The 14106-nt window shown below is 37.9% G+C and overlaps 1 protein-coding gene across 40 annotated transcripts in view, besides 1 other annotated feature; it reads left to right on the top strand.

Moving 5' to 3' along the window:
* Nucleotides 1-14106, top strand: part of CNTN4 (contactin 4) — a 959094-nt gene that overhangs the window by 852481 nt on the left and 92507 nt on the right. The window lies entirely within an intron of this gene.
* Nucleotides 7485-7685: a silencer, noted in NCBI's record as "peak4526 fragment used in MPRA reporter construct". NCBI's record gives its function as "represses an SCP1 promoter by STARR-seq MPRAs in K562 erythroleukemia cells {active_cell/tissue: K562}" and the evidence as "EXISTENCE:reporter gene assay evidence [ECO:0000049][PMID:32103011]".

A 14106-nucleotide genomic window follows, 5' to 3' on the forward strand; every position in this document is an offset into this window, starting at 1 on the left:
CTCAAATGCACAGTTCACAATAGGGTTCAGGTCCTGTCCTGTGAGAATCTAATGCTGCTGCTCATCTGACAGAAGGCGGAGCACAGACTGTGATGCTTGCTCACAGGCTCTCACCTCCTGCTGTGCCACCTGGTTCCTAACAGGCCATGGACCAGTACCAGTCTGTCTGCAGCCTGGGGGTTGGGGACCCCTGTTCTAGACTACTGTGTAAATTTAGTTCGTGCATAATTCGTCTAAACTTATTGGTAATACATAGATATTTACTGTCTTCTCCATGACTCCAAGAAGTGTTTTAACTTTACAGATGAAAAGGTCCTACAAGGAAGGTTTCAGTCGTTCATATGTGTATATCAGAAAAACAAAGGTGGCTCATCTCTCCACAGTAGTTTCACTGGTGATATTTTCATTGCAAATTCCTTTTTACAGGTGTCAAAAATCATAGTATGTGGGAATGTCTGCCTCTAGTGACCTTCAATGCACTATTAAAAAAAGAAGTTTTGTTTTGGATTGCCAGGATTTTAACCTTCAAACTAGCCTGTGTGTCATGGATCCCTGCACTAGAAGGCTTTTAGAAAAACAGATAAACTAAAAGGAAGCTTTACAGACTGAACATCAGCTACAGGAAGACCTAGGTGATTCCCAACTCTATACCCAGGTGCCAGGAAGGTTCTAAAAGTCAGTAAACACAGAGAGGCCATTCTACTACCCCTGGCCTGAGGCCCCAAATTCTGGTGAAAAGTTCTGCTGCCCTTGTAGTATGGAGCTTTTTAAAGCAAAGGCAGAAATACTTAGAAAAAGAAAGAGGATGAGCATAAGATCTACCTTCTCCCAAAGCAGCCTTATCGAAAGCCTTAGTGAGATGGTTTCTAGGATATAGTTGGAACCTGTCTGGACTCACAGCTCCCTATGTATGTTGAACTCTTAGTCCAAGACTCTCTTGGATCTTGAGGTAACTACAGTACCATAAAAAGGACTAGATTTGGGGAATGGCATCAGAGCCAGAGCTTTGCCATCTATGTAGTCTTGAGCAAGTCACTTAATTTATTGTACTTAAAATGGACTTAATAAGAAACACCTGCAATGTTCTGCTCAGATTTCATTAGATGGGAAAGTGCTTTTTATATGGCTCTAACCTCTAACCACTGTAGAGTTTTTGTTACATGCATTTTTAGGTCTATGTGCATTTTTTCAAAATGAAATTATATAATACCTTATTGTTTTATTATTTGACTCTTTGATTGACAGTATATAGTAGATACCATTCCCTACTGAAGAATATAACATTTTCATTCTATGTTTTTATTTTTTATGGCGCAATCATATGGCATTGTATGACTTTGTCAATTCACTACAAATATTTATTACTTAATTTTGAACAGTTCAGTTTCTTCTTTAGAACTGCTGTTTAATCTACTACAGTTCACATCAATTGCATCAAATCTCTAGTATTCTAATTAGAATGCAATACCAACTATGGGAATTACCAAGCAGCTGTATTTTGGGCATCTTCACCAACATGGTTATAGCAACAGCGAGGATTTGTTGAGTGAGTGCCTAATATGTGCTAGGTATTTTACATATACTGTACCTTGTATAAATCTCCCCCAAACTCTCCAGCTCATTGTCATTCTGCTCATTTTGCACTTGAAGGAACTAAAGCTCATCAACATCAACTAACTTAATCGTAGACATAGAGATGACTAAGTGACAAAACTGGAATTCATCTGTAGGTTATTTGACTTCAAAACGACATAAACTGTGTCCACTATATGAAGCATCTTGCTTGATCTCAAACTCAGCACATTTGGATTTGATCTCAATGTCTTGCCCTTGTCTCAAACATGTCTCCACCGTGTGCCACCATTTTATGAATGGTGCCATCATCTACCAAGCTCCCCTAACTGGTAGCCTTTCCTTCCAACTGCCCTGAGATGACCTTTGTGAATGTTAATTCCCCCCAGATTGTTAATTCTAATGACCAGCTTCCATTCTTCAATTTCTCAGCACCATTTGACACAGGCGGTAGATCGCTCCTCCCTCTGAAATCCTTGTTTCACTTGGCATCCAGGACCGCATAGGCCCCTGGTTTTTTTTTTTTCTAGTCCATCCAGGCCACTTCTTCTCCATTTGTCTATTGGGTCCTCCTCCATTCTACAACTTCTAAACTGACCCGGGGCACAGTTTTTGGGCCTTTTTTGTATATGTCCCTTCTTCCTTGGTGTCTTCCTCTAGTCTATAGCCTTCCAACTTACCTAAACACTGGAGAAGTCATTTATATTTCCAGCCTGAAATTCTCCCAGAATTTGAGTATATTGAATGATATATTCAACACCTACCTAGGTCTTTGCAATCTATCCTAGGCAAAAATGTCCTGACTCCAACATATAAATTGTCTTCCCCCTTAGTGAAAGGAGAGGAAAGCAGTGAAGCTTTGCTGGGCCTATTGATTTGGATGACACGTGTTCTCTGAATCACCTAGAGGGATTCATTGATTAATTGAGTCATTAATGCACCGATTCATTCATTCAAATATTATTTAGTGACTACATCATTTGCCAAGTACCATGCTAAGAATCTAGATAAAATGTTTAGGGCCAATTATCTAGGAAATAAGTTTTCTAAATTAAGTCAATTCTTAGGAATCACCTTTTGGTTTTCATACTAAACAGGGAATGGAGTATTTCTGAATCATTAATTCCCAAATCAACTTTTCTAAAATATGCATAATCGTTTCCAAAATGGAGATTTATTTAGATGTCACACAAGATAATTGCAGCTTTGTAAACCTAACCTAAGGGAAATTGAGTTTTCATTCAGAAACCTTATCTTGATTGCCTAGACATCACCCAGCATCCTCTGACGCCTCTGCTTGATGTCCTTATGTCAGCCTGTCCTCAGGAGAGAAAGAGGAAACTTCACCAAAATGAACAAGGTCTTTCACCTTCTCCCTTTAGGTTTTAGGAAGAAGCTGTTTATGAAAGTTGTCCTCCAGTGCCCATTGGGAACTTGCAAAAGATCAGTTACTACCGATGGACAGTATGTCTGGTCTTTCTCTCTTTTTCCACATATTAAATTGTCATTGTGTCAAATGTCTTGCCATCAAATACGGTGCTGCAAAGAAATTGCAATTATATTTATCAGTTTTTTTTCTCTGACCTTTGAATTTCATTCAGTCCACAGAGAATCCTTCTCGGTGGTTCAGAGAACATGTGTCATCCAAATCAATAGAGCCAACAATCTCTGATTTTTCTCTCCCCCTTTCACTGAGGGGGAGGGCAGTTCATATATTGAAGTCAGAACCTTTTAAGCCTGGAATGGATAGCAAAGACCTACAGCTTTAGTGCATGTAATCTTGCAATGCAATAACCTGGTAGTCACGCAATCTGGACCTAGTAACAGGTTACCACAATTCCATATGGAGTTTTCTAGTGTTTTCATCCTGTCTGCCTAGTATTAATTTTGAGTTTCTGTCTCTGGAAAATTTTGTTTAGATTTTAAAATCTTGGTTTTTGTTCTCTAATCATTTTCTCTCACTATAAGATTCTGACTGTCAGAATTAAATATGTTATAAAACTAATGTTTAACCGTAGTCTCATTCCCTACGCCCTGCCCCCTGCCCCGCACCACCCCAATCACCTAGAATATTTTGAAGGAAGAAATGGGTGGTGGATAATAGCAGCCAGGTTATCTGGCAGCGCAACCTCATTTTAATATTAGCTAAAGCAGAAATAGTCAAGAGGGCAAGTCTGCCATGAAAAGTCTTATGAAACATTACAAAGTTAAATGGACCACTAAAAAACGGTAGACAGAAGAGACAGCCAGGTGCTCACCAAAATCTTACAGTTGAACTTTAAAAGTCATATATAATGAGCAAGATTAGATGCAAAATCAGCCATAAAAATAAACTATTTCCCAAGACTCAAGGCTAAAGTGCACCTAAATCTTATTTATTAGCATGACTGAACTAGCAGCACAGTAAATCGTAATTGCATGTGTCAGTCACGTGGTGTTTATTAGGCCTTTTCTGATTTTGAGTGACAAAATACACACAAACTCATCTCTTCTATCCACCATGTTGACTCTGTTCTCAGACAGGTGTCATCCTCATTACCACAAAATGGCTGCAGCAGCTCTAGACATTAAATATTCAGATATTCAATTCCAGAAGGACAGAGTGAGAATCATTTTCCAGAAAGTCCCAGGAAAAGTCTCATTGTAGCTTACTGACTCTGATTGAGTCGTATAATTATCCCTAACTAATCACTATAGCCAGAAGACATGAAATGCTGGGATTAATTTAAGCCTGGGCCCTGTGCTTCATGCCAACATTTAGTAGTGGAGCCTACTAATATCTCATGGCAGAGGCTGAAAGAGGGATAGGTTTTTAAGTGGCTATTATTGGATATAGTGCTAATGGACGCTGGACACAACTGTTTGAACAAGAAGGAATGGTCAAAAGTGACAGATATTGTGAAGAAATTGGAACCCTTTTGCACAGCTAGTGGGGATGTAAAATGATTCAGCATCAACATCATGACATGTCCTCAAAAAAATTAAAAGTAGAATTACCATATGATTGAACAATTCCACTTGTAGAGATTACTCCAGAATTAAAAGCAAGGACTCAGCTAGATATTTGTACATCCATGTTCATTGCAGCATTATGCATAATAATCAAAAAGTGGAAACAGCCCAAATGTCTATTGATAGAAGAATAAATAAACAAACTGGGGTATACAGTGGAATATTTTCCAGCCTTAACTAGGAATGAAATTCTAACACATGCTGCCATATGGATGAACCTTGAAAACATCATGTTAAATGAAATAAACTGGACACAAAAGGACAAATATTGCATAATTGCACTTATATGAAGTACCTAGAATAGGCAAATGGATAGAGACAGAAAGTAGGATAATGGTTACAAGGTGATGGGAAGGGGGTAATGGGAAGTCATTGTTTAGATGGGTAAAGAGTTTGCTAGAGATGATGAAAAAGTTCTGAAGATGGATGGTGGTGACAGTTGCACAACAGTGTGACTGTACTTAATGCCACTGAATTCAACACTTAAAAATAATTAAAATGGCATTTTTTATGTTATATATATATTTTACCACAGTAAAAAAGATATAAAAAATGGAAAATAGGCAAAGACAAAAATCAAAGGGGCAATATATACTCCCATCTAAGTTAATAAATGATGGGAATGTTACTTCTTTTTTATTTTTAATAGGTAAATGATGCTAATTTTATTTCTTATTTTTAATTATTTAATTGATAAAAATTAAATATTCAAGGTGTACAACATGACTTGTGTATATATTATATAATGATTACCACAATCAAATTAATTAATGCATCCATCACCAGATTGTACATTAGACCCCCGGAATTGTTCATCTTATAACTGCAATTTTATACTCTTTAACCAACATCTTCCTATTTATTTCCCCTACCTCCAGAGCCCCTAGCAACCATGGCTCTACTTTCTGCTTCTACGAGCTCTACTTTTTTAGATTTCACATGTAAGTGACATTATACACTATTTGTCTTTCTGTGCCTGGTTTATTTCACTTAGCATAACATCCTCCAGGTTCATCCTTGTTGCTGCAATGGCAGGATTTCTTTCTTTTTAAGGCTGAGTAATAGTCCGCTGTACATATTTACTAGTTTCTTTATCCATTAATCCCGTGATGGACACTTGGGTTGTTTCTATATCTTGGCTATTGTGAATAATGCTCTGATGAATATGGGAGTGCAGATAGCTCTTCAACATACTAATTTCATTTTCTTTGGATATATACGCAGAAGTGGGATTGCTGGATTATATGGTAGTTCTAATTTAAATTTTTTTTTGAACAACCGTACTATTTTCCACAATGGTTATACCAATTTACATTCCTATCAGCAGTGTACAAGTGTTGCCTTTTTTCCACACCCTAGTCAATGCTTGTTGTCTCTTGTCTTTTTCATAGTAGTCATTCTTAGCGGTGTGAGAAGATATCTTATTGTGGTTTTGGTTTGCATTTCTCTGATGATTAGTGATACTGAGCACCTTTTCATATGCCTTTGGCCATTTACATGTCTTCTTTTTTTATTTCAACTTTATTTTGGATTCAGAGAGTACATGTTCAGGTTTGTAACATGGGTATATTGTGTGATGGTGAGGCTTGGACTACAGATGACCCCGTCACGCATGTAGTGAGCATAGCACCTAATAGGTAGTTTTTCAGCTCACATCCCCTCCCCACCTTCCCCACTCTAACAGTTCCCAGCATCTGTTTTTCTCATTCTATGTCCATGTGTACTCAATGTTTAGCTCCCACTAATAAGAACATGTGGTGTTTTGTTTTCTATTTCTGTGTTAGTTTGCTTAGGATAATGGTCTCCCACTGCCTCTATATTGTGACAAAGGACACGATTTTGTTCTTTTATATGCCGCATAGTATTCCATGGTGTATATGTGTTGCATTTTCTCTATCCAGTACACCATCAGTGGGCACTCAGGTTGATTCCATGTCTTTGCTATTGTAAATAGTGCTGCGATGAACGTAAAGTGCATATGTCTTTTTGGTAGAACCATTTATTTTTCTTTGGGTATATATTCAGTAATGGGATTCCTGGGTTGACTGGTAGTTCTAAGAGCCACTGTGACTGGCCTTTTGATGATATTTTGATTTGTCTAATGGATTTCTAATTTAGTATTTCTCTGATGGGAGGCTGTTGCATTTTAAATGGATGTTTCCACATATTGCAAGACTGTAGCATCTCTAGGCCCAGGCATTCCTAGTCATTCTGACAAACAGAAAATCTCCATGCTTCCCAAACGTGCTGTAAGAAGCATTGTTGCCTCCAATTAAGAAACACTGGTTTATGAGGAAAGAAAGTGCCAGTTAAACTGGCTGAATGGCAGTTTTATTTCATATGGTACATTAATAAGTGAGCACCCCATTTTATATACTAGTTTCTCATTAGTTCTTATATATTTTAAGTAATCAAAATGACCCAGGCAAGGTAAGTTCTGAACCTTCAGGGTGAGGCCTAGATATTGGACCATGGAAATTCACTGGCATAACTCAGTTTATTGAATTCTCATGGCAGCCCAACCAGCACCTTGCCTGCTACCTTTGTAATGTGCTTCTTCTAAATGTTAGCATAAACAATCTGCATTTTTTTGAATTATCCCGGTGATTGCTTCCCTGGTGCAACTATGATTAAAAATAAGACAGATAAGTTCTACCCCAAGTAGCTTACAAAATGTAAGCATTATAATACAATACAGAAAGCAAGAATCCCCTTAAGTAGCAGTAAAATCACAGGCTGCAAGAATGCAGGGCAGGCAGAAAGACTTCCAGCTGCAGGAAGCAGAGACAGCTTCATAAAAGAGGCAACACTTAAGAGGTTCTTACGTAATAAGTAAGCAGTACATTTGTAGAAAGGTTGGAGAGGGGTATTCTGGGTATGCTATGAGTAATCCAGGGAACTAATGCTCAACCTAGGAAGTCTAGATTTTATGAACTTATGGATCCCTTTATAACTCCAGAGCAACTGACAGAAAGATGGAATAGCATTCCATTGGCTAGTTGTCTTGCCCAAATAACTTGTTTGACAAAAACCGTGCCTCCAGGGAACAGAAGGGTCAGTAGTCATTTGAGTATCTGCATATATACAAAGACACATATACAATGAGAACAACTGAGGCAGAAATTGAAAGCAAAGCTCTCAGTGTCTATGTCAGAGCCTTTCCCCAGACGGTGCTAAGTAAAATATGTAAGCACTTAAGGTTAGCTATAAACTATTCCTTTGGGCAAGGAAATAAATATTATTACAGGAAACTACAGCAATTTTTTGACATCAGGAAAAGAATATAGTCCTGCAAAGTCCTTTTAGGTCAAGGAAATTAGCTTCTAGGGGAAAATATATTTAAAAACAAAGAGTCAGATAATGTTTTCAGAGCAAGTTTTCAGAAGGCAGTCTATTTCCAGTTTATGCTATCTATAGAGCGTCTGTGTAAAGCTCTTTAAAAATGTAAACACCTAATTGCATTTCAGTATGATAAGACCATAAAGTCTTTAAGTCTCCACAGGTATTTATGAGTTCTTGGTCATAACTTTGAAAGCCCTTTTCATAATTATGCCTATCAACATATTGTGAAAAAAAATCATTGAGGAGCTTACCCTTGGCTTTAGAAATAGTATATACCATCTAATTATTATTTTAATATAAATTATTTCCTTACCATTAGATTAATATCTAGCCCAGAGCACATGTAATTGAGAAATCTGTTTTTTTATTTTTAGAATCATACTAAATTTTTAAGTGACTGATTTTTCAAAAAAAAAAATCTTCTACTCATCAGAAACAGTTTGGGATCTGTAAAAATCCCCTAGTTTATTCCAGACGTAAATTTCCCCAAAGACTTTTAGCACCTATTAAGTTTTTGTCTCCCTAGGTATGAGAGTTTGCTGTCAGTTAAGAGGAAATTTATAAGAAAATGTTAAAACCAGCTTAAATAACTTTCTAGTTCTATTTAATGTTGGTACAACTTCAATGAAAACATTTCAAGTCAGCATTTCAAATTCAGCTGCCAAGACTCAGGTAATATTTCCTGGACTCAATCATATGGGCATGAAACACTGCAGTTCTATCTTCAAAGTCCTTTGAAATCTGTCTCATGATATCTTTAGAAGAAAATATTCCAAAATGAAATGAAGAACTTCATTTTCAGCTGAATTTTCTTAACGTCTGTCACCTTCTTAGGTGTGGGTTCTGAATTTTAAATATTCCTCTTTTTGAACCTGTGGAGATTGTAAAAGGCTACATCCCTAGTGAAAATTGGTTTGAGATAATTCCCTGGAAAACTTTTGTCAAGGTGTACAGTTGTCACTTTGGTTCATGTTAGAACCAGGAGAATGTAATATGTAATAATGACTAATGCCCCTTTAAAAGAGCATTTCTCTCTTTTCTTGTCTGCAGATATTTCTCATGTCTATAGGTACCGCACGGGCAAGAGCCATACTTTAGATAAATACAGGTTTTGAGTTTTTTTGTTTTTTGTTTTTTGTTTTTGGTTAATATACTGTCTCTCTCAAAATCAAAAATAAAAGCTAAACACTTGAGGCTGCTTATAATACAAGTTATATATAATAGGCCTGTTAAAATAAAACATTTAGACCTGTAGAAGAAGGGGAATGTGTACTTTAATAATGACTTAGTTAGTATTATTAGTGTTTTGAGTTTCCTAGGATTCTGAGCCAAAAGAGAAATCGGCAAGCTGTTAAATAAAGTTCATTATATGAAAAACGGTGTTGAAGAGAGACAACTTTCTCCTGACTTTAAATTATACATTAAATGTGTTAGTTGAATCCAGGGGCAGGTTGATTGCAGTAATGGCCCCTGCTTTGCACATGTCCTGCGTCATGTCCTTTGGTAGTGCCTTCCCACTTTCACTCTTGACTTGGCCAGACTGCTTGCTTTGGCCAATGAAATGGTAGTAGAATGGATGCAAGCAAATGATTTTGAAAGTCCTTGCACATTGGAGCCTACCCCTTGCGGCTTTTCAAATCGTTTCGCTACCATGCGAACAAGATAAAGGCCTATTGTGCCGGGCGCGGTGACTCACGCCTGTAATCCCAGCACTTTGGGAGGCCGAGGCGGGTGGATCACGAGGTCAGGAGATCGAGACCATCCTGGCTAACACGGTGAAACCCCGTCTCTACTAAAAATACAAAAAATTAGCCGGGCGTGGTGATGGGCGCCTGTAGTCCCAGCTACTCGGGAGGCTGAGGCAGGAGAATGGCGTGAACCCGGGAGGCGGAGCTTGCAGTGAGCCGAGATTGGACCACTGCACTCCAGCCTGGGCGACAGAACGAGACTCCATCTCACAAAAAAAAAAAAAAAAAAAGGCCTACTGAATATTGAATGAAGAGGAGACAATGGCCTAGTCCCCCTCATCACCCCAGCCAACACCTAGCTGAAACATAGACTCAAGAGCAATGAAAAGTCTTGTTATTTTAAGCAACTGAGTTTGGGGGTTGTATGTTATGTGGTGATAGCTAACTGATACAGATATTTAGACAAGGGATATCTGCTAATATAATGGACAGTGTCTTGTACAGTAGTTTTTCAGCAACTGTTGAAAAACTATAGGACTGTCTCCTTATAGCAAATGACAACCCTTGAGAGCATACCTTACATAAAAATAAAGATATTTTTATTTTCCTCACTGCCTGTTATATCAAATGTTGTTAAATCCCTGCTAGAGACAACATACCCACCTCTGAACCAGACCACCTTGTTATTAGAAGAGAGCCATCCTTTGAAGTCACACACAACAACACTGCTTAATGGCTAGGGAAACAAAGGCTATTATTAATCTAAAATGCTTTAAACAGGGCTTAGAGAGAATGAAATAAGCAGACTGGAGTTTAGCCATGGTGCAATGCTTTGAGGGCGAAAACAAAGCCATCCATTTAGATAAGCTTTGAAAAACACTGTGTAGAGGGGAATTCTTCTAGAAAGTGTGTCTTAACTTCTACAATCCATTTGATACTCAAAATTTTTGTGTTCCTGCTTTCAGTGGCACTTCCTATAAAAATCCATTGCCTTTTCCTTCTTCATCAAAGTCTTTTTAAGCTTGGGGAAAATAGACTTGTCAAAAACATGTCAAAGACAATTACATTTGAAATTTTAAGTCATATGAAAGATGTAATTTGAACCCCAAGACTTATAGACTCTCTGGACCTCAAAAATTATTTAGGTCAACCCTATATGATTTTTGAATTCCCTCCAGGAAAAACCTAACTTATCTGGATCTCTTCTGCCAAAGACACTCCCAGTAATAGAAACTTCTGTGGAGAATTATGCCCCTTAGGGAATTTTTATGTAATAAAATGTTTATCCCTAGATAGAGCCATTCACTTTTAAGCCAGACGCCTGGTGCAGCACAGGAAATCCCAGGTTTCCTTTCTGCCACACTCTTCCGAATATTCAAAGACAGCAGCTCTTCTGTCCCCAGGTTCACCAAAGTCATTTCTTTGTTCACCAGGCTAAATGTGTCAGCATTCTTGGGTTGCAGTTAACCAAAATAACTCTAGCTAACTCAAGCAAACAGGAATTTTATTGGAAGGATATGAGGGACTTAGAAAACCCCTGGAAGAAGCAGTTTTGAAACTAAATGAATCTAAGGTGTCCCTCTGGGATTAGGAAACAGGAAAGGCAGAAGCTGTATATTTACAGGAATAGTTTGATCAGGGTGCCCCTGCTGAGTTCATCAGGTTCTTTGTCCTGCTGTTCCAGGAGGAAGGAGTTATGTATGACTATTGTAGCTTTGGTTGTAAGACACAGGGAAAGGGAGGGCCTCTGACCACAGCCTTACCAGATTGAATCCAGTGAGAACAGCTATCCTCAAAAGAACATATGAGTACTATGAAAACGGGAAAATGGATACTGAGTAGGCGAAAACAACAACAATTAAAATAATGTTGAACACCATTCTTTCATCTTCATGTGAAGTGGCTTTGAGTCCCATCCGTCTTGTTCCTGTGAATCATCCAGTGTCCTTAGCTGCCCTCTTAGTTGGTGTTAATTTTTTCAATGACCCTCTCAAATGGTGGTGCCTTGTAGCTCTAGCTGCAGTTTGATCAGCGCAGAGTAGAATGGGGTTATCCCCTCCCGCATTCTGGATGCCGTATATCTATTAATGCTGCCCAGGATTATGTTCATGTTTTTGGCACTCTCATCTGCCCATCGAGTCAGACTGAGTTTAAAGTCACCTAAAACCTAGTAATTAATTTTCTCACCGTTTCTCTAGTCTATGCCACATCTGCCCCCATCATTATCATATCTCTTCCTGTGCCTAGAATGCACTCTTCTACTTTCTGTTATTGCCTAGTTAACACTTCCTTTTCCTTCAGACCTCGCTCGTATTACCTCTTACTGAGACTCAATTTCCCTTTTATAGATATTTATAATACTATACACTTTTCCTTTACAGTACCTCATATGATATAATTTCACATTTATGAATGTGATTATTTGGCGTCAAGATGGTCTAGAAAGAAAATCTAAATTTCTTATTACATGATCTAGCCCAAACCTTAGCAGCCAATCTCATTTCTTACCACTCCACTCACCCATCCCACTGGCCTTTCTGTTCCAGGAAAACACAAATCCTGCTGTTTCCTTAGGGCCTTTGCACTTGATGTTCTCTCTCATTCCCCATTCTTTGTCTGACCACTACTTATCATCGATTAGATCTTAGCTCAAGTAATACAAAGAGAGGCCTTCCATGTTTAACCTAAAGAAATTCCATCATCTTTTGTGCCCCCAACACACACCAAAAGTCCATTTCTATCATAAGACTGTCCATATTTTCTTCTTAGCACATATTACTGCACTAACTTATCACATTCATATTTGCTTTATTTGCTTTATTGTTAGTCTCTCCTTCCACTGAAATGTGAGATCCTTAAGAGTAATGGCATTATTTGTCTTATTTATTGTTGGATACCTAATTCCCAGAAGAGTGCAGGGCCCACAGTGGATGCTCAGGAAGTATTTGTTGAATTAGTGAATTGAAGAATGGTCATAAACAGAATAAATTGTCTTTTCCAATAGAGTTTAAGTTTCATGAAGGGAGCAACCGTATCAGTTTTGTTCACTATTGCATCTTTAGTACATTGCCTGACACATAGTAGGTTCTTATTACAAATATGTTTCATGAATGCAATACCATATTTGCACTATTAGTGTTTTTGAGCATTCATAGGGACATTTATATTTCAGGGATATTTATGTTCAGACCTGACTGATACACAATATGTGAGCTTTTCCTCTCAATTCCCTATCATGAGGAAAAGAAATTGGCATCTTATCTCTACCTCCACCCAAAGTAATCGGCAATTTCATTGGAGAAATTTTTAGCCACCACTGAGACTAGTTCTGCATAAGAAAATTAGACTGAGATCTAGCAATTTACTAGGGCCATCAGTTTAATTATGAATATCCAATGTGAGTAAATCAGACTTCAAATGATACATGTTTTTCACCAAATTGCTTAGTAACTCTGTCAACTCTTCCATTCATTGATCTCTAAAATTGGAAGACTTGAGGTGAAATTCCAGTCTCCTAATGTGTAGTTCAGTGTTTCTCTGACTTTGGGAGCATATAAATCACCTAAGAACCTTAATAAAATGCAGAATCTGATTCAGAAAGTTTGGGATGGGGCCTGAGATTGTGTGTTTCTTATAAGCTCCCATATGTGACATAGCTGCTGACCTCAAACCAAACTTTAAGTAAGGAACTAGATAACCCTGGATAATAATAGCAAACACCAGTTGTAAGCAAGTGTAGCACTTTGTAGTTTTCAAAGAACTTATTTGTAAATTAATTTTTAAAAATCCCTACAAAGACACAATTATTCAGGTATAGATGAGGAAACTGAAGTTGAGAAAACTGACACCTTTAATTGAAGTCGCACAACTAGAAATTTAACCAAGTTTCTCCTTCCACAACTGCAGTTGTTTCCCCTTCACATCATCTGTCTGGACCACATTCACCCACTCATTCACAGTAAATTTAATTATGCTTCCATCGTGCCCTACTCGAGGGGTTGAAGATACAGCAGTGAATGAGAAAAAGATCTTACCAGGTTTTCTGATGTGTAAATGGAATGATTGGCCCTTCCCAACTCCAGTGGTCTGTGATTCTATTACGGTGTGCCATGTTTAAAAAATGAAATTATAGAATTAAGGCATTATCTTAGGTATCATTTTCTACCTCTGTGCTCTCAGAATCAATAAACTTAAATTCAGCTGATCATCACCGTCATACAAAACTTCCTCCCACATTCTTTGTCTCATTGCAGACAAGCATATCGGAGCCAAATTTCACGCTATCCAATCAATAATTAATTCTCCTCCTAACTGTTCCTCCTAAATTGTATTGTTTTGTGCTCCTCCTGGCCACTGCTGCCCTAGTTCAGGTTTTCTCTTGTCTAGTCTGGCAGTGTCTAGAAGCACTTTCTCTGGTGATGGAAATATTCTATGTCTGTGCTAATGCAATACAGTAGCCACTTGCCGTATGTGGGTATTGAGCACTTGAAAG

Source organism: Homo sapiens, chromosome 3 (genome assembly GCF_000001405.40).
Source record: "Homo sapiens chromosome 3, GRCh38.p14 Primary Assembly".
NCBI classification, from domain to species: Eukaryota; Metazoa; Chordata; class Mammalia; order Primates; family Hominidae; genus Homo; species Homo sapiens.